This window comes from Homo sapiens, chromosome 12 (genome assembly GCF_000001405.40).
Source record: "Homo sapiens chromosome 12, GRCh38.p14 Primary Assembly".
Taxonomy (NCBI): domain Eukaryota; kingdom Metazoa; phylum Chordata; class Mammalia; order Primates; family Hominidae; genus Homo; species Homo sapiens.
In genome coordinates this window covers 81,472,234-81,497,935 of record NC_000012.12, presented here as the reverse complement: position 1 = coordinate 81,497,935, position 25,702 = coordinate 81,472,234, and the positions used below count along the sequence as shown (strand labels likewise).

The window sequence follows — 25,702 nt, the reverse complement described above, 5'->3', positions numbered from 1 at the left end:
GAAAAGGAAACTGAGCAGTGCTCATGGAAGGTGAAGGAAACTCTTTAGAACTAGAACTTAGGTTATATTTCAGAACATCAAAAAAGACAACTATGAGGGTCAGGTGTGGTGGCTCATGCCTGTAATCCCAGCATTTTGGGAGGCAGAGGCAGGCAGATCACCTGAGGTCAGGAGTTCGAGACCAGCCTGATCAACATGGAGAAACCCTGTCTCTACTAAAAATACAAAATTAGCTGGACGTGGTGGCGTGTGCCTGTAATGCCAGCTACTCAGGAGGCTGAGACAGGAGAATCGCTTGAACCTGGGAGGCTGCAGTGGCAGTGAGCCGAGATCGCACCATTGCACTCCAGCCTGGGCAATAAGAGCAAAACTCTGCCCCAAAAAAAAAAAAAAAAAAAAAAAAAAGACATCAATGAAATAGGGATGTCACTTAAAGACTAACATGGGGAAGGCAGGAGACCCTTTTTCTACTTCTGTCTCTATTATGTGTTCCTATGTTAACTCATATACCAAAAGTGTATAAGAAAACTTTGCCCTAATGAAGAGACAATTAATAGAAAGGAGTAATTTACAAATAATCTTGGAAAGATAAAAAAGGAAGACACTGGTCTCAGTTAGAAATTTAGAAGCATCTCGTGAGCCACAAATAATCATAAAATGATCTGAAAATGTGGGCTTGGTGCAATTGCTTCTATTATCATTTTAATTTATCACAAATAAAAATCAGTAAGAGGATTATTTCTGAAGTCACACTTGTCATTGGTGAGTTAAACATTTGGTTGTCTCTAGGGAGGTGGCACTGCTGGCAAGCAGCTCATATGCATGAAGAACCAAGCATGAGTTAGGACATATATGTTGACCTTTATTATTTGGGAATTTTAATTATGACAACTTTTTATTACTGATTGTTGACTTAAAAAAATTGTAAACCCTTCCTCCAGGTAGATGGAGCTTCAGTAGGGCTAAAGCCATTTTAGAGCCTCTCGTGTCTGCTTTATTTGCTCTGGGGCATGTCATACTCAAGAAGAGTAGACTGTGGTCTGTGGCATAGGATATCCAACTTCTCAGATTTATTTTTATGCCTCAAAGTTGGCTCCCATTTTTAGCATATTAAACCATTCTTCTGGTTTTACTCATATAAATGTAACAACATTGACCTCCCATGCTATACATTTACTCAGCATATTCCTTCAGTTTTATTTCTACATGTTGAATTTTCCCATTCTATCCCAGAGGGTTAGAGCCTAGAAACATTGGACTCTCTGATCTTGTATATTAAAGCTGACAGAGTATGCAGAAAGTATTGTTATTGATTCCTTTCATTCACGTGGATTTATGATTGTTTTGCCACATTTACCTCATCTATTTCTTTCCTCAACACATTTTGCTGACATATTTGATACTACAAAGCAGAAAATATGATCTATCACTCCTAAAGTCTTCAGTGTCTCTCTTCAGTGACTTCAGAAAGTCTCATGAGGACTTTCTCCTATTATAACCCCAATACCATTATTACACCCAAGAAATTTCACATGATATAATAGCATTATCTAATATATTGGCAATTTTCTGCAATTGTCTCCAAAAATATTCTTCTTCTTTATAGTTTTTTGTTAATTCACTCCAAAATTAAATCACGGATCACACATTGCTTGTGGATAATTTAAAACTTCTAAGAGCTCCTTTCCTAAAAATGATTTGCCTATTGAAGAATCCAGTTGATTCACCTTTCTCATATCCATTTTAAAATGCTTATCTCCTTCAAATAAAAGAGAGAAGCGGAGGAGGGAGGAGATGCATCACTTTCATTCATCCCAAATTCTTTTATTGTGCATTGCTCTAAGTTATAAAAACTCCTGGGTCTCCAAACAATACAACAAAACACTGCATTGTCATCTGTGAAGTAGTTCTCAATTAAGTCATAATATCACTTCTTATCTTTGTCATTATACTATATATTGCCAATAAAATTTACTTCCTGTCTTTCATATTTAAACATTAAACTTTATAATATGTGTTTTTAACATTTTCAATTAATAATAATTTATGAGAATTCAAACACAAAAGAACATTTTAAAATTGGAGCCTTATAATATTATACTTTTGTTTTGTTTTGTTTTGGAAACAGGATCTTACTGTGTTGCCCAGGCTAAAGTGCAGTGGCACAATTATAGCCCACTGTAGGCTCAAACCCTGGGGCCCAAGTGATTCTCCTGCCTCAGGTTCCTGAGTAGCTGGGACTACAGATGCTCACCATCATGCCTAGTTAATTTTTATTTGTATTTGTATTTTGTGTAGAGATGGGGTTTCACTATGTTGCCCAGGCTGATCTTGAATTCCTGGGCTCAAGCAATCCTTCTGCCTGAGTCTCCCAAAGTGCTGGCATTACAGGCATGAGCCACCATACCTAGCCCTACACATTTTAAAATCAAAGTATTTAAGTGTATTTATTGCAGAGAATTATGTTAGGTGATCAGTAAGTGGCTTTAAGTTTAAAAATATTTTCTGTGTTATAAAAAAAGGAACTACAATTTAGGCAAAATAAAAAAATATAAATTTTCTATTTTAAAGAAGAATTTATGTTTTTTTTATTCATGTAAAATGGTGAGGGTAGAATAGCAAAAATGTTATGATTCAATTTGATATATGCCAAAATTTACATTATATCAGAAATTCCATACTTGGCATTCAGGTAAACATAGAATAACAAATTTTAGATGTTAATTTATAGATGTGTGAGGAGGCACAGTTGCTAAATTTCTGTTAGGGGATGATTGAGCAAACATGTTTGAAGACTGATGTCCTAAACGACACTTTTTCTTTTTTTTAAAATTTTATTATTATTATACTTTAAGTTTTAGGGTACATGTGCACAATGTGCAGGTTAGTTACATATGTATACATGTGCCATGCTGGTGTGCTGCACCCATAACTCATCATTTAGCATTAGGTATATCTCCTAATGCTATCCCTCCCCCCTCCCCCCACCCCACAACAGTCCCCAGGGTGTGATGTTCCCCTTCCTGTGTCTATGTGTTCTCATTGTTCAATTCCCACCTATGAGTGAGAACATGCGGTGTTTGGTTTTTTGTCCTTGTGATAGTTTACTGAGAATGATGATTTCCAATTTCATCCATGTCCCTACAAAGGACATGGACTCATCCTTTTTTATGGCTGCATAGTATTCCATGGTGTATATGTGCCACATTTTCTTAATCCAGTATATTGTTGTTGGACATTTGGGTTGGTTCCAAGTCTTTGCTATTGTGAATAATGCTGCAATAAACATAAATGTGCATGTGTCTTTATAGCAGCATGATTTATAGTCCTTTGGGTATATACCCAGTAATGGGATGGCTGGGTCAAATGGTATTTCTAGTTCTAGATCCCTGAGGAATCGCCACACTGACTTCCACAATGGTTGAACTAGTTTACAGTCCCACCAACAGTGTAAAAGTGTTCCTATTTCTCCACTTCCTCACCAGCACCTGTTGTTTCCTGACTTTTTAATGATTGCCATTCTAACTGGTGTGAGATGATATCTCATTGTGGTTTTGATTTGCATTTCTCTGATGGCCAGTGATGGTGAGCATTTTTTCATGTGTTTTTTGACTGCATAAATGTCTTCTTTTGAGAAGTGTCTGTTCATGTCCTTTGCCCACTTTTTGATGGGGTTGTTTGTTTTTTTCTTGTAAATTTGTTTGAGTTCATTGTAGATTCTGGATATTAGCCCTTTGTCAGATGAGTAGGTTGCGAAAATTTTTTCCCATTTTGTAGGTTGCCTGTTCACTCTGATGGTAGTTTCTTTTGCTGTGCAGAAACTCTTTAGTTTAATTAGATCCCATTTGTCAATTTTGTCTTTTGTTGCCATTGCTTTTGGTGTTTTAGACATGAAGTCCTTGCCCATGCCTGTCCTGAATGGTAATGCCTAGGTTTTCTTCTAGGGTTTTTATGGTTTTAGGTCTAACCTAAATGACACTTTTTCAACTTTGCTTTTTCTGAAATTTCTAATAATAACTTTTTCATGTTTATTTTCTTATTGACTCTGCTTCTTTCTCTGAGAAAACAGCATCTCTGAACATCATATCTCCCCACCTGCCTTCATCTATGTTTCTATGTTCAAAATGCTGTTATTTTTTCCAATGTGTATATATATATATATATATATATATATATATATAGACACACACACACACACACACACAAACACACACTCAATTCCATCTGTGCTACTAGTTACCTTCCATCCTGATTTCTATCAGTTCCTTTACAGCAAAGTGATTCAAAAAGTTTTGAATGCCCATTATCTCCAATTTTTCTCTTCTGTATCTTCCCAGGCTGTTGCCCCCTATCTCTTCAGTGAACCTGACAATATTAACAACATCAGTGATTTCTGTGTTGCCAAATCTGGTGACAGATTTTAAGTCCTCAGGGCTATTTCTCAGAGTTAGTAACTTCCTCCTTGTAACATGTTCCAGGCTCCCAGTAACACACTTCTCTGGTGTTTCCCATCCCTGTAATAGCCACTCTCTCAGTATCTTTCATTAGCTCTCTTCTTGTCTTCCCAGCATCTGAACACTGAGAAGTGTACCAAGACTCAGTCCTTGAACCTCTTCTCTGTGTATTAAGTCTATCTCATACCTTTAGCAATTTGGGCTGAATTAGAGATTTAAGTACCTTTTTATAAATGATGACTTCTATATTAGCGTCTCCAACTTGGACCCTTCTCCCAAACTCCAGACACCAAAAATGTGTATCTTAACTTAGTTGTCTAATTGACATCTCAATTTAACGCATCAAAAACTGATTCCTAATTCCCTTTCCCATTCCAAACCTTTTCTCATAATTTTTCCAATCTCTCTTCTTATGTTCCAGCTGCTTTGGCAAAAACTCTGAGTCATCTTCCATCATCTCTGACTTTCCTCTTTATCTCTCACCCACATATAATTGTTCAACCTGCTGACATTATCTTGAAAACATATGCATAATCTATCTACTTCAATCACTTCCATAGCTAACACTTAGGTTCAAGTCACCTTTATCTTTTTCCAGATTCTTTCAATAGTCCTCTCATTGATTTTCCTACTTCCTCTTTTGCCTCACCTAAGTCTGTTCCTCAAATAGCAGCTGAAAGGATTACATTTATACAGAAATCTGACCATGTCAATTTTTGCTCTAAATCTTCCATTTGCTTCCCAAAAGCCAAGTTCTCATAATAGCCCATAGAGTCCTGCATACTTGAGTCCTAAGTTACCTCTGAGATGTGGTCTCCTCTTCATGGCTCCTTCTGCTTCAAGTACTCTGTCATCTCTGAAATATTCCAACTACCCCTTATCTACTCACATGTCTTACTCCCTTGCTGTCTTTAGGCCTTTGCTCAAATGCCACACTCCTCCTAAGTGTTTTCTGCCATCTCTATCTAGATTGCAGCTCCACCCCTCCCCGTTTTATTTTACTCTATAGCACCTACCACCATGTAACACACTCTGTATTTGTCTGTCTTCTTTAATGTCTTCCTCTCCAACCCCACTATCATCCCTGCAAGGATGTAAGCTCCCTAGGGGCAAGGAGTTTGATCTGTTTTGACTAAATTTAGTCTGCTACTATAATCCCATTTTCTGGCAGAATGCCTGGACCTCTTCAAGGAAACCTATAAATGTGTTTGAATTAGTAAATGCATGAAGGAATGTGATAAACTTTTGAAAAAAAAAGAGTAATTGAGACTTTTTGTGGGTTTTTTTGTGCAGATGTTATTATATCAAACATAAGCCGTGTAGTACTTACATTATGCTTTTATTTCCTAAAAAAAAATGGTGAAGCTATTTTTACTAAGTCTACAAAGTCAGGCACACAAAACTCTTTCTGCCTCGATCTTGTAATTATGAATAAAAATTGAAAGATTATCAATTGGAGAAGTATTCAATGAAGTACTACAACTTGAACTAGGCCTTAAATTAAGTATATAGGATTTAGAAACATTGAAGGGTGAATAAGATAATGTTCCAGGCAAGAGAAATGATGTGAGGCTAAATTGAACAGCAGAAATGTTGTAAACATTCTTTCTTCCCTGAAGCAGAGTGTTCCTTTTAGAGAAGTATTAGACATTTTGGTTTAGGGCTATAGGTAAAGACTAGTACATGATGACCTTGATAAAGTGCTGTCTTCGACAATTTAGGATACTAGGACAAAAATACCATGGACCGAGTGGCTTAAACAGCTATTTATTTCTCACAATTCTGGAGGTTGAGAAGTTCAAGATCAAGGCACTGGTGGATCCAGTGTCTGGTGAGAGTCTGCTTCCTATTGTATCCTCACGTGGCACAGAGAGAGAGCGCAATATCTCATGTCTCCTCTTTTCATCATGAGGGCTCCACCCTCATGGATTTATCTAACAGTAATTACCTCCCAAAGGCCCCACCTCAAATTCCCATCAAATCGGGCTTAGGGCTTCAACAAATGAATTTTGAGGGTTCACATTCACTCTCTAGCAATAAATAAAGACAATTCATTTTATCCTCTAAACATGAGGGATTTATCAAATGGTGGGGTGACTTTTTTTGGGGAGAATGAGGAAATAAATGGAGATGAGGAAATAAAATGTCCAAACAAGGATTTGTGATAAGTAATAACCTACCTGTAAAATGAATTAAATATAAGAAGGTTTGAAAGTAAGAAACCTGGATTGGCAATTATTTCAATACAGTGGAGACAAAGCAAAAAAACAAAAAAAGTAATTCCAGAAACATTAAAAGGTAACTGTCTTAAAACATGAGAGGAGAGAGAGATCATAATTGGTAAAAATGAGTTGCAGAAACCTACTGTAGAGTGGGTGAAAAGGGAAGCCTTATCTCAGAAGATGACATAGAACAGAGTATTTCAGGCAGAAGGAAAACAATTGCACAGTCCTCCTGGAGAGTATAAAGGAACAGGTGAAAGCAGCATTGTGTTCAGATGGGACATGGCAGAAGATAAGGCCAAAAGTAAAGTTAGAGGCCTTGAAGGAATAAAGTTCTGTAATGCCTTAGAGTTAACAAATTAGGATGTCATTTGCTTCCATAGACGAGGTATGCTTCAAAGAAAGTTGAGTCCATTGTGATGTTAAACAGGAGGAAAATCTATGGGGACCAGTATAAGCAAATGCCTAAGTGGCATAAACAGCAGTCAAAAAACAAGAATAAAGCAGGAAAAGACTGATAAGACTGAACAGAAAACAGTGTGCTGGAATGGCAGAATGGGGTTCTGTAAGAAAAGAATCTGACTGAAAGTCTTAGAGGTATGAAGAGATTTTTGTTGTTGCTTTTCCTCCTGCAGTCAAGGCTGCTTAACATCAATTTATGTCTAATGAATGTGAATCTGGCATCCAGAACGCCATAGGAGCTAAATACACAAACTTCAGCAAACCTCTGTTTGCACTTAGTGCTCTTATTTTTGCATTTTCTCAAACATAAACATTCAAATGAGAAGAAGTAGTATGTTGGCCATTTAGAAACATTCGTGGTGGCAAAATGGTGAGAGACACTACCAAGGAGAAACATGATGCTGACAGCCTGCATGCATTTCTCTCCATTTGGTAATTAAGGACTTCCACTGAGGCAAATGTTTATGCTGAGATTGTAATGTTTAGATTGGCTATTTTCAGTGGGTTGCGTTTCTAGAAATATCCTACAAAGCAATATTCGCAGGAAATAATTAAAAAACGAATTCAGAATTTTCCAAAGGCTGACCTTATAACTCCTAAAACTCCACGAGTAAACCTATCTTTGGATTCACAAACATAGTAAATTTGAATTGTGTGTTTCCAACAACTTAATTCGCTTAATTCAACATCAGCCATGTAGCCAATACTGCTAAGGTGTTTATTCTTAATAAGAGGAGGAATGCTAGGTCTTATAATGGGGAAAATGTTACAATGGGTTAAGTGGATACATACAAAAGAAAGATTGTAATAATAAGAAAAAGAGATAGAAAAATAGATAGATGGACAGAGAGAGAACTTTCATTTCTATCTGAGGGAATATTCAATTGGCCTTCTCTATAGTGTTAGAACACAGAATGGATCTTGAAATACAGGTAGCATATAAATAGTAAGTTATGCCATAAGAGTTAGAAGGACAGACTTGTCAACCTCCACTCATAAATGTTTTGAATTAAGTGTGCTGCATCGACACATTTCAAATAACAAATACAATACTTTCACTATTCATGTATAGCTTGTACACTATAGGGTGCTCTGGCTAAGATTATACTTGATAGAAACGTTTCAAACACAAATATATGGAGCAGTGACTAATTGCATCATTTCAAGTGAAAATGAAACATTTCTCAAAGATAGATTTATTTTTTCTTTTCTGTACTGTGTGGCAGTGGAGTATGGTAACTAAGAGAAAAGTAGGGAAAAGGTTAATTTTTTAAACTACATTCTTTTTCTCCCAGTTCATAATCAAAACTGTCTAATGATTTTTCTCTGTGTTATTTTGGTTGCTTTCAACAGGTGCATTGAAACATGTGCAAATGCAAACATTCAAATAAAGAAAGCTAAAAGTAATGTCCTTGATCATAGGGAATGCATCTTGAGTTTTACGGTTCCTTCCAAAGCATTTTGTGAAATACTTAAAAAATAATGATCTATTATGAATATTTTACCTATTAATAATATATATACACCCATATATATTATTAGATGTATATATAGATACAGAAATAGATATTAGAATACTGAGCAACTAGGGAACTAAATTTTAAACTCTTTCCAATGCTTTAAGGATACTTTGCCTAAAATTAATGAAATACCTGAGTCATTAATAATTCCAATTACTGTAGTTTATTATTTTTGTATCTCTCAATGTTACCAAGTCAGCACATATTGAGAATATGGTAAATGGTATATCTGGTCCAAGAAAAGTTGGGCATTGGTGATCTGGCCTAATTTGTCGAAATAGGACAGATACTTGTTTATGTGGCTAACCTGCAGTCATAGAATCATTGCGCTGTGCCTAATTGTATACATATATTCCATTAGGTAGCTTATTCATTCTAACACATTAAGACCCTGCCCTTTTCAGAAACATTGTTGTGAGAAGGTTAAAATGAAAGGACCATCCATCCCTTCAGAGTCATGTGTTCTCGTGTGGGAACTAGACAACTGTACAAAAAATTATAGCCCCATAAATATATATTCTCATCAATGGGAAACCTGAGGAGAGGTTTCCAAATTTTGTCTGAAGATCATAGGCTTCCTAGAATAGGGGATGTGACATCAAAGCCCTAAAGAATGAAGAAGAGTTTTCCAAATAGACAGGGCAAGGAAGAGCACCTTAAACAGAAGAAACAATGCAAAATTAGTAAAATCAGTGTCTTAAGAGTAGGCTGTAAGGCCCGTGGGCTTTTGAGTGAGTGACAGAATTCACTCAGATAGTATCAGGTGCCATGATAATGGATATGGTGACAGAAAGAGAGGGAGATAGCTTTGTATTGTCCTTTGTCTCTCTGTGGGTGTGTTTGTGTGTGTGTTGGGGGTAACTTCAGTGAAATCCCCTGTTATGACAGAGCAGGGAGGCATAGGATATGATCCTTGAAAACCTCCCAAAAATGGCAAAATGTCAGGTGAAAAGAATTGTGGTGGTAGAGAGAGGAAACAGATGAGAACGTAGTACACTTTACTCACTTGTCAATAAAAATCGGAGTTCATTCTGGCTTTATTATGGTCCTATTCTGTATATGACAAAGGTTTCATGTTTGTCTGATTCTATTCTCCAAAGGCAAATATAACAAGAAACTGGAATAATAAAATAACAGGAACAGACAATGAAATATAGACCATCAAACCTCCCTAACTGTTATGTATAGTAATGTTACATAGGAAAACTACTTTCTCTGGTTTAAATAAAGGAATTATCGGCCACAACTAATGTATCCACTAACTAACTATATTACATGGCTTTTTAAATCAATACTTTAAAAGTGATAATGAATACAAAATTAAATGGAAATGCAGATGTTAAACATAAAATCAGATTATGGGCCTCATTGTCCTCACACACATTTCAGATTACCTTTAAATATGATATATTTCTTTTGCCTTCTATGGTCATTTATATTAATTATTCTTTCCATATAGTTTTGTCAGCTTTTTCAGATATCACAATGGCCATTAAACATCTGTCATTTTCATGATATTATGCCTACACTGTTTGTTTCTTGCCTTAAAGAAATAACTGGAATTGACTGTGAAAGAATCCTAAGAGTGGGCCTGATAGAATTCTGAAAGCATGGGTGTGAGATATCAGCCATGGAAGCTGATTATTGCCACTGCTATGTGGCAATATCGGTACCTATAGATTGGCAGGACTTGGAGACATACAGCTTACTCCTAGAATCGCCAGTGACAAGGCCCTCCCACCCTTAAAAATACAAGCTTTGAGTTTGTTCCAGTAATTAATAATAATAATAATAATAGTAATTCATTGTTAACACTTACCAAGTGCTCATACTTGTCTAAGCATTTAACCTGAATAACTTAGTTAAGTCTCACAACAACCCAGTAAGACTTTGCTTGTTTCTGTTATCCGTGTTTTACAGATTAATAAGATAAAACACAAAAAAGGTAAACTAAATTTCCCAAGAACACACAGCTAAAAAAGATGGAGCTGGAATTCAAATAACAAGCAGTTGCTTCGAGAGCTGGAGACTTTAACCTCCTTGCTACTTCGTCTTTCCAGGGGTCACCTTTCTCCCTCATGTAAATAGACAGATAACCAACTCACTCCAGTGGATATTCTAGGCCAGTCCAGTCAAGGCAAATTGAGGTTCCAGATGCTCCAAAGCTTAACACACTGTGCTATGCATGATCACGTGTTTTTCTTTCCTAAGGGAAACTTTCTAAGGACAGAAATCACACCGTGTTTTGCAAAATGTAAATATGCATTGAGTAAACAAAGGGATTAATGTATTTTTAAAAGAAATCTGGTACCAAGGCTTTATATGGTTTATTATTTGACTATAAGAAGGGGATGGAGTTGATTGGCATATGTTTTCAGGTTCAATTAAGATCTTATATTTTTCTTTTAGTTTCATTTTTATTTCCTCATCAAAAAATTGGAGTTGACAGTTATATAAAAATTATTTCTTGAGGTGGACTAAAAAATGTTATCATCTATTATTATTTTAATGATTACTGTCAGCCAAGAGTGGATATGAGTACTACTTTTCTAAACTGAAGTTGTGTGGCTGATGTCCTACTGTTGATGATATGAGTTACATGGATAAAGCATGGCATACTTATTAGTTTTAGGATGTAATGACAAGCTGATTTAAATATCCAGCATCTAAATTTGAAAATCTTTGTGCAAATTTATTGAATAGATCTATCACTAAAAATCTGCAGTTAAAAAAATTGGCATATGTTTATCATAAATAGAATTTTTTCCTAAGGCAATTTGTACCTGAAAATTCTATCAATAATATAATTTCTAGAAATACTATGTTTTTAAATGTTTTATATGTGTTAATATCCTGAAAGTTTTCTGCATGGCATATTAGTTTATGTTGCAATGTTCATGTTATAATAATAAAATGAAAGTAGAAGTACAGTCTTAGTGATTAAACTGAACTTTTGTTACCAGCTAGCTGGGTTCGAGTACTAATTCTGCCACATAAGACAGTAAGGCATGTAAGGCACTGAGAAAATCACTTAAACTCTTTGTGCCACTATTTCCCTACATGTAAAATGGGATCATCATGGTAGCAACACCATATGGTTATTGTTTATAGTCAATAAGCTGATACATATTAAGTGCCTAGAACAGTGCTTGAAATATAGTGAAATTATATTTACTATTAATCCTATGTGTTACATTTCATTTAAAAATTAATTTATAACGCTAAAAATGTATGATAATATATCAGAGATTGTGTACAATGAGCTAAATGAAAAGTAAAGTCAAAATAGGAATGTTCTTTCAGAATGACCTCATATATGCTGGAATTATCTGTGTTATAATTTAATAAATTTAATTGCAGATGGGGTACTTAGTCTGTTTTAATGGAACTTGCCAAGTCATTTAGTTCCAAAAATTATGTCGCTTATATTATTATACATTTAACATTCAATGTTCCTTAAATAAAGGGTGTCAAATTATTTGCAGTTTCAGACTTTCATATTTTGCAATCAATAATGGCAAAAATTTACATTTTATCGTCTCATAGAAACTTATATTTTAAGTGATTTGTTTACTATTTTGTGACTTGTGTTATACATTTCTTGCACAAAATTTGAAATACCTTTATTAAAACAAATTTTCATGTGAACTTGTGATTCATTTGTGTTCTAGCACACAACATTTAGATCTAGGCTGAAGTTAATAGAGCACAGAGTTTTAAAATAAATATTTTTCATTCACAAAAGGGGTGACAGATTTGAGGTGAGAGTTGTATATCTGAGTGAGTTATTTGGGGAAAGTACTCTTTTATTTCTTAGCACTAGAGGAAAAATATATTGGAAGTGACACAGGTGCAACTAACTTATAGGTTAAGGATTTTTAAAAAATATATATTTATTGAGTATGTAATATGTAAGAATAATTATATAAAGTGTATTAAGGAGTTAAAAAAAGACTAAATGATGATGAAAAGAAAAACATAACCTGTACAAAAACGATATAAATAAGAGAACAACTAAAATAAAATGAGATGTCTTCTTAAAAGTGCATATATTGACTAGATAATGCATTGGGTTCACATTTATGGAAGTATCACTTTGAATTAGAAATTTGAAGACAAGCAAAAACTTCATAATCCCTATACTCATTTACTAGGCTGGCTTTTTGAAATATAGCTCAAGCTAGTGATTTCCTTTTGGCCTTAAAAATAATTTGAATCATTAATTTTAAAGTAGTTTTTAGCCTATAATTTTCACCTACTATATAAAATAAGCATTTTCTTATGTCTCTAAATATCCTTGAAATAATTATATTGTAGCTATATATTATATTGTTAATTTTATCATATCACTTACTGAATCACTTTCTTTGAATTACTGATTCAAAGAAAGAAAACATTTTAAAACATTTTGATACATGTAGTTAAATTTCATCTCCAAAATTAGTTATATGAAAATCATCACAACTTATAGCCTTAATAGAAATATGGGAATTTAAAATTAGCAATGCTATTTTTATTTTAATGAAAGATATTTAACATATGAAGTTTTAAATTATGCCAAAGTAGAGATTTAAAAGCTGAGATCAAGTTTGGTCAAATGCTTCTCTTGCTAGAATAAGGGTCTGGCCTAGCATGTATATTCTCAATATTAATGGTAATTCATTTCCGTAGTACTCTAATGAATAGTGCTATTATGTGAATTCATGGGAGTATACTTAAATTACAGAATGTGAATTTTAATTGTATAAATTCATTATGGCAAATGAAGCCTGGAAAAATTTTGAATATTATTGTACAACATGAAAATATTAATATCTTTGAGGGTATTTCTGCCTCCCACAGTCACCATTAATCCCACCTCCTCCAGAGTGTTCCTAGAACACTTTGCACACATCTTCATCACTAGCCTCTGTCTCATTGTATATAACTATTTACGTGCTTTGTTTTCCCCACTAGGTAATCAGCATCACTGTGGTTAAAACCACCCCTTCTTCCAAAGTGTCTAGCATAGTGCCAGACTCAAAATAGTGTGGACTATTTTTTTTTATTTGTCCATTACAGCCACCTCAAGAGTTTTTGACTTCTATTCTGTCAGCATTTTAGGCTTTTTATTTGGTCTTTCATAGGGCAGAAAAATGAAACTCTGAAAGTACCAGGATATTGTAGAATTATTAATAAGGAAATGACCTTCGCCCAGGTAATGCCACATTATTTTTTTGTCAGTGTCCTTTAAGAATACAGCACCATCAGTGAAACAGTAGGACATTTTAAAAGTGATTCCTACCCCGAGGGATACTTCAAACTTCTGCACAAGGGCAAGAAATAATTTACTTTTATCGGTCACCAAACCCAAAAAAAAGGGAGGGGGGAGAAGGGTGATTCTATAAAATACTTTGAAATGATTACATTTATAATGTTATAAGTTCCCAAGTGTACAGCAGAAATTTCATTAAAATTGAAATATATATCTTATAGAATTGAAAATATTAAACTTCAGAAATAGAACCTTCTATGAAAGTTATTTTCCATTTTGATTTTTAAATACCTTAGATAGTTTTTTCCTTACAGTTTTTCATAACAACTGTATTAAGAAAAAAAAATAGCATAAAATTCACCTTTTAAAGTGTATAGTTCAGTGTTTTTTTTAGCTTATTCACAGAGTTGAGCAACCTTCACCACCATCTAACTTTAGATCATGTGCATCACCCTCTTCTCTGTATCTATTAGCAATTATTCCCCACTTGCCCCACCTCCAAGGCCCTGGCAACTACCAGGCTACTTTCTTCCTCTATGGATTTGCTGTTCTGGACATTTCATATACTGTAACTGAAATTTTACAATATGGGGTCTTTTGCTTTCAAGATTAATCTTTGTTATAGCTTATAAATACTTTATTTCTTCATATTGCCAATTAATATTCCACTGCATGGCTGTACAAATTTTATTTATCCATTCATTAGTTAATAGATATTTGGGTTGTTTTCATTTATTGGCTATTATGAATAATGCTACTATGAACACGCATATAAAAGCTTTTTTATAGACATGTGTTTTCATTTACCTTGTATGTATAACTAGAAGTGGAATTGCTAGGTTATATGGTAACTCTAACATTTCAAATAAATTCTACGCTATTTTTCAAAGTGACTGTGCCATTTTGCAGTTCTGCCAGCAATGATGAATTGCTTAATGTAGGGTTCTACATAACTTTTTAATATGCACAGCTGTTGTGGCAGAATTATTCTATCTCACATTTATAAAACACAATTCAATTTTTATCACAAATAATATGTATCATAGTATATCCTGAAATTGTGTCTTCTTAAACTGTAAGCAGAATTTTAGCACTGGAACACAGTTTATTCTTTGTGATCCCAGCACAGTATATATATATATATAAGTTCTGGGATACATGTGCAGAACCTGCAGGTTTGTTACATAAGTACACATGTGCCATGGTGGTTTGCTACACCCATCAACCCATCAGCTACAGCTATTAGGTATTTCTCGTAATGCTATCCCTCCCCTATCCCCCACTGGCTGACAGGATCCAGTGTGTGATGTTCCCCTCCCTGTGTCCATGTGTTCTCATTGTTCAGCTCCCCGTTATGAGTGAGAACATGCAGTGTTTGGTTTTCTGTTCCTGTGTTGGTTAGCTGAGAATGATGGTTTCCAGCTTCATCCATGTCCCTGCAAAGGACATGAACTCATCCGTTTTTATGGCTGCATAGTATTCCATGGTGTATATGTGCCACATTTTCTTTATCCGTCTATCACTGATGGACATATGGGTGGGTTCCAAGCCTTTGCTATTGTGAACAGTGCTGCAGTAAACATATGTGTGCATGTGTCTTTATAGTAGAATGAATTATAATCCTTTGGGTATATACCCAGTAATGGGATTGCTGGATCAAATGATATTTCTGGTTCTAGATCCTTGAGGAATTGCCACACTGTCTTCCACAATGGTTGAACTAACTTACAATCCCAACAACAGTGTAAAAGCGTTCCTATTTCTCCACATCCTCTCCAGCATCTGTTGTTTCCTGACTTTTTAATAATTGCCATTCTAACTGGCATGAGATGGTATCTCATTGTGGTTTTAATGTGCATTTCTTTAATGAACAGTGATGATGAGCTTTTTTTTTCATGTTTGTTGGCCGCATAAATGTCTTCTTTTGAGAAGTGTCTGTTCATGTCCTTTGCCCACTTTTTGATGGGGTTGTTTCTTTCTTGTTAATTTGTTTAAGTTCTTTGTAGATTCTGGATATTAGCCCTTTGTCAGATGGATAGATTGCAAAAATTTTCTCCCATTCTGTAGGTTTCCTTTTCACTCTGATGATAGTTTCTTTTGCTGTGCAGAAGCTCTTTAGTTTAATTAGCTCCCATTTATCAATTTTGGCTTTTGTTGCCCTTGCTTTTGGTGTTTCAGTCATGAAGTCTTTGCCCATGCCTATGTCCTGAATGGTATTACCTAGTTATTCTTCTAGGGTTTTTATGGTTTTAGGTCTTACATTCAAGTCTTTAAACCACCTTGAGTTAATTTTTGTATGAGTTGTAAGGAAGTGGTCCAGTTTCAGTTTTCTGCATATGGCTAGCCAGTTTTCCCAGCACCATTGATGAAGTATGGATTTCCTTTCCCCATTGCTTGTTTTTGTCAGGTTTGTCAAAGATCAGATAGTGGTAGATGTGTGGCATATTCTGAGGCTTCTGTTCTGTTCCATTGGTCTATGTATTTTTTTTGGTACCAGTACCATGATGTTTTGGTTACTGTAGCCTTGTAGCATCGTTTGCAGTCAGGTAGCATGATGTGTCCAGCTTTGTTCTTTTTGTTTAGTATTGTCTTGGCTATGCGGGCTCTTTATTGGTTCCATATGAAATTTAAAGTAGTTTTTTCTAATTCTGTGAAGAAAGTCAATGGTAGTTTGATGGGAATAGCATTGAATCTATAAATTACCTTGGGCAGTATGGCCATTTTCACGATATTCGTTCTTCCTATCCATGAGCTTGGAATGTTTCTCCATTTGTTTGTGTCCTCTCTTATTTCCTTGAGCAGTTGTTTGTAGTTCTAGTTGAAGAGGTCCTACACATCCCTTGTGAGTTGTATTCCTATGTATTTTATTCACTTTGTAGCAATTGTGAATGGTAGTTCACTCATGATTTGGCTCTCTGTTTCTCTATTATTGGTGTATAGGAATGCTTGTGATTTTTACACATTGGTTTTGTATCCTGAGACTTTGTTGAAGCTGCTTATCAGCTTCGGGAGATTTTTTTGCTGAGACTGTGGGGTTTTCCAAATATACAATTATGTCATCTGCAAACAGAGACAATTTGACTTCCTCTCTTCCTATTTGAATACCTTTTATTTCTTTCTCTTTCCTGATTGCTGTGGCCAGAACTTCCAATACTATGTTGAATAGGAGTGGTAAGAGAGGACACACCTCATACAGCTGAGCTCTGGCTGGCATCTGGTAGGTGCCCCTCTGGGAGGAAGCTTCCAGATGAAGGAACAGGCAGCAATCTTTGCTGTCTGCAGCCTCCTCTGGTGATACCCAGGCAAACAGGGTCTGGAGTGGACTTCTAGCAAACTCAAGCAGACCTGCAGCAGAGGGGCCTGACTGTTAGAAGGAAAACTAACAAATACAAAGGAAGAGCATCAACATCAACAAAAAGGACATCCACACAGAAACCCCATCCGAAGGTCACCAACATCAAAGACCAAAGGTAGATAAATCCACGAAGATGAGGAAAAAAGTGCAAAAAGACTGAATATTCCCAAAACCAATATGTCTCTTCTCCTCCAAAGGATCACAGCTCCTTACCAGCAAGGGAATAAAACTGGACAGATAATGAGTTTGATGAATTGACAGAAGTAGGCTTCAGAAGGTGGGTAATAACAAACTCCTCTGAGATAAAGCATCATGTTCCAACCCCATACAAGGAAGCTAAGAACCTTGAAAAAAGGTTAGAGGAATTGCTAACTAAAACGACCAGTTTAGAGAAGAACATAAATGACCTGATGGAGCTAAAAAACACAACACGAGTACTTCATGAAGCATACACAAGTATCAATAGTGAAATCGATCAAGTGGAAGAAAGGACATCAGAGATTGAAGATTAACTTAATGAAATAAAGTGTGAAGACAAGATTAGAGAAAAAAAGAAAGAAAAGCAACAAACAAAGCCTCCAAGAAATATGGGACTATGTGAAAAGACCAAACCTACGTTTGATTGGTGTACCTGAAAGTGATGGGGAGAATGGAACTAAGTTGGAAAATACTCGTCAGGATACTATCCAGGAGAACTTCCCCAACCTAGCAAGACAGGCCAAACATTCAAATTCAGGAAATGCAGAGAACAACACAAAGAGACTCCTCGAGAAGAGCAACCCCAAGACACATAATCATCAGATTCACCAAGGTTGAAATGAAAGAAAAAATGTTAAGGGCAGCCAGAGAAAAATGTCGGGTTACCCACAAAGGGAAGTCCATCAGACTAACCACGGATCTCTCTGCAGAAGAGTGGAGGCCAATATTCAACATTCTTAAAGAAAAGAATTTTCAACCCAGATTTCATATTCAGTCAAACTAAGCTTCATAAGCAAAGGAAAAATAAAATCCTTTACAGACAAGCAAATGCTGAGAGATTTTGTCACCACCAGGCCTGCCTTACAAGCGCTCCTGAAGGAAGCACTAAATATGGAAAGGAAAAACCAGTATCAGCCACTGCAAAAACATACCAAATTGTAAAGACCATCGACTCTATGAAGAAACTGCATCAACTAATGGGCAAAATAACCAGCTAGCATCATAATGACAAGATTAAATTCACACGTGAAAATATTAACCTTAAATGTAAAGGCTAAATGCCCCAGTTAAAAGATACAGACTGGCAAATTGGATAAAGAGTCAAGACCTATCGGTGTGCTGTATTCAGGAGAACCATCTCACATGCAAATACACACATAGGCTGAAAATAAAGGGACGGAGGAATATTTACCAAGCAAGTGGAAACAAACAAACAAACAAAAAAGCAGGGGTTGCAATCCTGGTCTCTGATAAAACAGACTTTAAACCAACAAAGATCAAAAAAGACAAAGAAGGCCATTACATACTGGTAAAGGGATCAATGCAACAAGTAGAGCTAACTATCCTAAATATATATGGACCCAATACAGGAGCACCCAGATTTATACAGCAAGTTCTTAGAGACCTAGAAAGAGACTTAGACTCCCACACAGTAATAGTGGGAGACCTTAACACCCCACTGTCAATATTAAATAGCTCAATGAGACAGAAAATTAATAAGGATATTCAGGACTCGAATTCAGCTCTGGACCAAGTGGACTCAATAGACATCCACAGAACTCTCCACTCCGAATCAACAGAATATACATTCTTCTCAGCACCACATCGCACTTATTCTAAAATTGACCACATAATTGGAAGTAAAACACTCCTCAGATAATGCAAAAGAAAGGAAATCATAACAAACCGTCTCTCAGACCACAGTGCAATTAAATTAGAACTCAGGATTAAGAAACTGACTTAAAACCACACAACTACATGGAAACTGGATAACCTGCTCCTGAATGACTACTAGGTAAATAATGAAATTAAGGCAGAAATAAATAAGTTCTTTGAAACCAATAAGAACAAAGACACAATGTAGCAGAATATCTGGGACACAGCTAAAGCAGTGTTTAGAGGGAAATTTATAGCATTAAATGTCCACAGGAGAAAGCAGGAAAGATCTAAAATCTAAAATGAACAACCTAAAATCACAATTAAAAGAACCAGAGAAGCAGGATCAAACAAATTCAAAACCTAGCAGAAGACAAGAAATAACTAAGATCAGAGCAGATCTGAAGGGATAGAGACGTAAAATCCTTCAAAAAAATCAATGAATCCAGAATGTGGTTTTTTGAAAAGATTAACAAAATAGATAGACTGCTAGCCAGACTAATAAAGAAGAAAAGAGAGAAGAATCAAATAGACACAATAAAAAAAATGATAAAGGAGATATCAGTACTGATCCCACAGAAATACAAACTACCGTCAGAGAATACTATAAACATCTCTATGCAAATAAACTAGAAAATCTAGAAGAAATGGGTAAATTCCTGGACATATACACCCTCCGAAGACTAACCTAAGAAGAAGTCGAATCCCTGAATAGACATATAACAAGATCTGAAATTGAGGCAGTAATTAATAGCCTACCAACCAAAAAAAGCCCAGGACAAGATGGATTCACAGCCGAATTCCACCAGAGGTACAAAGAGGAGCTGGTACCATCCCTTCTGAAACTATTCCAAACAATAGAAAAAGAGGGACTCCTCCCTAACTCATTTTATGAGGCCAGCATCATCCTGATACCAAAACCTGGCAGAGATCCAACAATTAAAAAAAAAAAAAATTTCAGGCCAATATTCCTGATGAACATCAATGCGAAAATCCTCAATAAAATACTGGCAAACTGAATCTAGCAGCATATCAAAAAGCTTATCCACCACGATCAAGTCGGCTTCACCCCTAGGATGCAAGGCTGGTTCAACATATGCAAATCAATAAATGTAATTCATCACATAAACAGAACCAATGACAAAAACTACATGATTATCTCAATAGAAGCAGAAAAGGCCTTCGATAAAATTCAACATTCCTTCATACTAAAAACTCTCAATAAACTAAGTACTGATGGAATGGATCTCAAAATAATACAAGCGATTTATGACAAACCCACAGCCAATATCATACAGAATGGGCAAAAGCTGGAAGCATTCCCTTTGAAGACCGGCACAAGACCAGCACAGATTTTCACACATGGCCATCACTTTCAAAATATTCAATGAACAAATGGTGGAATATATCATTTTGTAAAAATATGTTTTCCTGACTTCTTCATAATCATTCTCTGTCAAAGGAACTTTGTCAAAGGCTTTCCAGGTGAAAGCCTTTTCAAATAATTGAAAGTAGCTCTCTCTCCTCCTTTTCTCTCAATCCTGAGGTTTTGTCTTTCTTCTTCAGACTAAATTTCCTTTTTTTTCTTTTTTTAAATTTTATTTTAAGTTCCAGGGTACATGTACAGTATGTGCACGTTTGTTACATAGGTAAATGTGTGCTGTGGTGGTTAGCTGCCCCCATCAACCCATCACCTAAGTATTAAGCACAGCATACATTAGCTATTTTTCCTGATGCTCTCCCTTCCCCCGCTACCACCCAGACAGGCTCCAGTGTGTGTTCCCCTCCCTGTGTCCATGTGTTCTCATTGTTCAGCTCCCACATATCAGTGAGAACATGTAGTGTTTGGTTTTCTGTTCCTGGGTTAGCTTGCTGTGGATAATGGCTTCCAGCTTCATCCATGTCCCTGCAAAGGACATGATCTCGTTCCTTTTTATGGATGCATACTATTCCATGGTGTTTATGCACCACATTTTCTTTATCCAGTCTATCATTGATAGGCATTGAGTTGGTTCCATGTCTTTGCTGTTGTGAATACTGCTGCAATGAACACTTGTGTGCATGTATCTTTAAAATAGAATGGTTTATATTCCTTTGGGTATATACCCAGTAATTGGATTGCTGGGTCAAATGGTATTTCTGGTTCTAGGTCTTTGAGGAATTGCCACACTGTCTTCCACAATGCAGACCAAACTTCTTAACAGAGAGCACTTTCACTATTGAAATGTGAATCTGTTTTAGTTGACTGAATTATTTTACAGTTCATATTTATGTGATATAAATATAGATTTATTGTATTTTTCTTTATGAACTTAATTTTTATGTCACATTTAATCATGTGTCTCACAAACTAGGTAACTGGCAGAGAGAAAATAAATACAAATTTTCAGGGATGATTCTGCAATGGCTTGAATTGCTTTTAATATTCAGTATTGGAGCTTAACATCTATAAATATTTCATCATATTCAACTTCTGCTTTAGACTGTGTGGCAAATAGGAAAGTCTGAAAGACTTCTCACTACAAAAACCTAGACTAAATGCAACACAAATGCTTTTAAACTCTCAACATCACTTTCATGAAAAACCAAATCATTAAAAACCAGCAGAGTGTATTCTGAAAGCTGGAGCACCCTGTAGATATTTGCTGATTCCAGGAACTAGAAACTTGAGGAATGAAAGGAGGTCAAACTAAAACTTCAGCATAAGTCCAGAGCCTCTGAGGAGCTTCACTCTGAAAGACATAGACTAGCCTAGAAGAAACTTATCATCAACAAAAAGACATCAGTTTGACCATTAATATAAGCTTGAGCTAAGGTGGAGGGACAATAAAAAGTTACCACATTGCTGTCCTTAAAAATGATCGTCACAAGGTCAGGTGATTGAGACCATCCTGGCTAACAAGGTGAAACCCCGTCTCTACTAAAAATACAAAGAATTAGCCGGCCTTGGTGGCGGGCACCTGTAGTCCCAGCTACTCTGGAGGCTGAGAAGGAGAATGGCATGAACTCAGGAGGCGGAGCTTGCAGTGAGCCGAGATCGCGCCACTACACTCCAGCCTGGGCGACAGAAGGAGACTCGTCTCAAAACAACAACAATAACAAAAAGATCAGCGTTCACATTTTTAACCCTTTCAACTTAAAGTAGTCCTTGATTCATAGTGCCTAGCAGAAGGAAAATATATATTCTCTCTGAAGTGCCTTCAGGTGGACATTACAGAAGAAATCTCAACGGATTAAAATAACCAAATATGAGCTTGCAAGTCAATATTTAAAATCACGGGAAGAACTATGTTTCCTTGTGCTAGAATCAGGAGAAATAATAAATAGCAAATTGTATTCTCGAATTTTAAAATTATAAAACACATTATATAAAATAAGTTTAAAATGTTTACAGAATAACAGTTTTAAAATAATGAAACATATATGCCATGTTTTAAGATTCATTCACCAATAGGTTTATCAGGAACAAATTTTTTGTTCTTATTTTTACTTAAATAAAAATGCTTACTAATCTGCATCAAACTTTAGTTACTAAATGTGATCCTTTTACCATGGTCCTTTAACAAATACACAGTCTCTATTTCAGGCCCTATGTAAGGAGCTGGCAAAATAACGAAGGCCAGAAAGTTTTAGTTCTGGTTCTCACAGAGTTTATCATCTAGATACAGAGGTTTGTATGACAGAATAGAATTAAAGCTTCTAGTGTTCTGTCTTAGTGGGATCTGAAGATTGACTATCCAAGATTACTAACAAAAATCAAAGAAAGAGTAGTATGAATAATTAAAATTGGAAATAATTCACCTAGAAATCTCATTAATCTTAAAATACCATTTTATTTTTGTGTTGTGTATTATTCTATTATAAATAATTCACATTTTCAACATCTATCTAGATTTTTCAGTCAGTCAGAGTCCCTCTTTTGTATCTGCTAGTGACTTTATCACCTAAATGATTCTAAGAGTGATCTATACAAAACAATAGGGCAAAATTAGCAAACTTATAGTTCATTAGAAGAAGGCTAAACCTTCTTTAATTCATGGAAAAACATTTAGAAATAATAACAATTTTTGCTTATGAAGTGTATTACAGGATTTTTAAAGAATACAGTCAAAAAGTAATAATTATATTTCACAGCAGTTAAGTTATAACAAAATGATACTGGTGCTAGTATGTATTTACAAATTTGGGATTGTTTAAAAGAAAAATTTTAAACTCCACAAGAGGGCCAGGCTCAATAGCTCATGCCTGTAATCTCAGCACTTTGGGAGGCTGGCACAGGCGGATCACTTGAGGTCAGGGGTTCAAGACCAGTGGAGCCAGCATGGTGAAACCTCATCTCTACTAAAAATACAAAAATTAGCTGGGTGTGGTGGTGCATGCCTGTAATCCCAGCAGTTTGGGAGGCTGAGGCCAGTGGATCACTTGAGGCCAGGAGTTTGAGAGCAGCCCAAAAAACATGGCAAGACCCCGTCTCTACTAAAAATACAAAAATTAGCTGTGCTTGGCGGTAGATGCCTGTAATTCCAGCTACTGGGGAGGCTGAGGCACAAGAATTGCTTGAAACCGGGAGGTGGAGGTTGCAGTGAGCCGAGAGAGCACCACTGCTCTCCAGCCTGCTTGACGAAGTGGTGAGACTGTATCTCAAAACAAATTAGTTAATTAAAATTTAAAAATAAAGAATACAATTCTACACGAAGGAAATGTTGAGAATATTTTCCTACCTTGGTGTTAAACATTTTTTCCTATTAAAAAAAGATTGGAGTTCTTACTTGAAATATAGTCTTTCTCTTGAAATATATTGTTAAAGAAAAATGTGAGAAGAAAGAACATCTGAATACACACTTTGACACATAGCCGTTTTTCCATTTTCCCAGGTAACATTATTTATTACATAAATAAAAATGAGTAAGGAATGCTATGGCCCTGCAGTCAAATAAGGTGATTATCTTATGTTGATTTCTGTGCATAACATGGACAACAGTCAATCATTCTAATGTAATTTATTGATATAAGTAAATAATAAGCAAAGTCATGGTTCTGCAGTTGGACAATTTTTGGTAGGATATTTTTCTAACTTGGACTATGATCTATACTTTATATTTTGAAGGAGATGTAAAAAATTTACAATTCCAGAACAGCATGGCCAATAAAATTCATCTTGGGTGCCAGTTTGGGTTATTAAGTAGTTGCTGCCTAAAGTCCAGCATCAAGGAATATTATGCGGCTGCTTCAGGAAAAATGTCATGATAATTTCATGTCTCAGGCGAAGGAGTACAGAGTGTTATCACACATGTGGTTTATCTGATGAAGCTGTAGGAAGATGGTATAAAATAGCAAAAATTCAATTTGTTATATACCCAGTTATATATTTTGCTACCAATATGGAATTTTTTTGTTTGTTTGTTTGAGGTGGAGTCTCACTCTGTTGCCCAGACTAGAGTGCAATGGCTCAATCTCGGCTCACTGCAACCTCCGCCTCCCGGGTTCAAGCCATTCTTGTGCCTCAGCCTCCCTAGTAGCTGAGATTACAGGCGCCCCCACATCATGCCCAGCTAATTTTTGTATTTTTGGTAGAGACAAGGTTTCACCATGTTGGCCAGGCTGGTCTGGAACTCTTGACAGCAGGTGATCCACGCACCTCAGCCCCCCAGAGTGCTGGGATTACAGGCGTGAGTCACCGCACCCGGCCCTACATGCAGTTTTATGTACATATATGTTTCTGTAGCAATTCAATACTTACAAGGCTTGTTCCATAAATGAGTAAATAGCTACAGGATAGAGAGAATTCAAGAGTTATTCCTACTATGAGTCTTTGCAAACTGCTTATGAATAATTGCAAAGATTAAGATAATATGTGAGTAATTTTATATATTTTTTCTTTTTGAAAATTGTATTTTACAAAGTGCTTCCCAAGAAAGCAGAGTCATCTGAGATTCTTTCTGCTTCTACTGACCAGCAAGATACTCATAGCAAGGGAAGTCCCCTAGGAACAGGAGAGAAAATGGCATATTTTTAATGTGAAGCATTATTTGTTTTTAGTTTTTTTTGTTCTGTTTTGTTTTGTTTTTTTGCTGGGGAAGGAGATGTTAAGATGGTCATAAGGATGGGTCCAATGGCAACAATCAATAAATGCTATTGATGTTAAAAGAATTAAGTGTCCACAAGCATACTGGTTACTAAAAAGAATATTTCAGGGTTACATTACCTTGATGAATTTGGTGAGGTCCAGAGTCTGGCCCTTAGTCTGGCAAGTCCAGAAATTTAGTGTTTTAAATTTCCTTGAGTGGTTGCTAAACTAATAATAAGGAAGATAAAGTTAATAATGTCATTCACCTGCCTAAATTCCTTCCATGGTGCCCATTATTGCCTTTTACCAAAGACCAAAATAACTAACATAGCTTACCCTCCATTCCATCCAAACTGAACTACTGTTATTTAAACAGCTTTATTGCAACAACACATACCATTTTATTCAGCCATTAAAAATGCAATTCATTGGCATTTAGTATATTCGCAAAATTGTGCATCCTCATCACAATTAATTTTGGAATATTTTTGTTACCCCAGAAGGAAATCCAGAG

At 35.8% G+C, this 25,702-nt stretch overlaps 1 protein-coding gene and 1 long non-coding RNA gene across 51 annotated transcripts in view; one reads left to right on the top strand and one right to left on the bottom strand.

The window, feature by feature from the left end:
- The window catches only part of PPFIA2 (PPFI scaffold protein A2), a 501,376-nt gene that overhangs the window by 261,415 nt on the left and 214,259 nt on the right, over nucleotides 1-25,702 (top strand). The gene's annotated exons all lie outside the window — the stretch shown is intronic.
- PPFIA2-AS2 (PPFIA2 antisense RNA 2) overlaps nucleotides 1-25,702 on the bottom strand; it is a 141,042-nt gene that overhangs the window by 60,211 nt on the left and 55,129 nt on the right. For 2 of the 3 annotated variants that reach the window (NR_199033.1, NR_199034.1), the window contains exon 4: nucleotides 25,327-25,416. The exons of the other annotated variant lie outside the window; for it this stretch is intronic. This is a non-coding gene — a long non-coding RNA (PPFIA2 antisense RNA 2). The remainder of the gene's footprint in view (nucleotides 1-25,326; nucleotides 25,417-25,702) is intronic. 3 annotated transcript variants of the gene reach the window in all.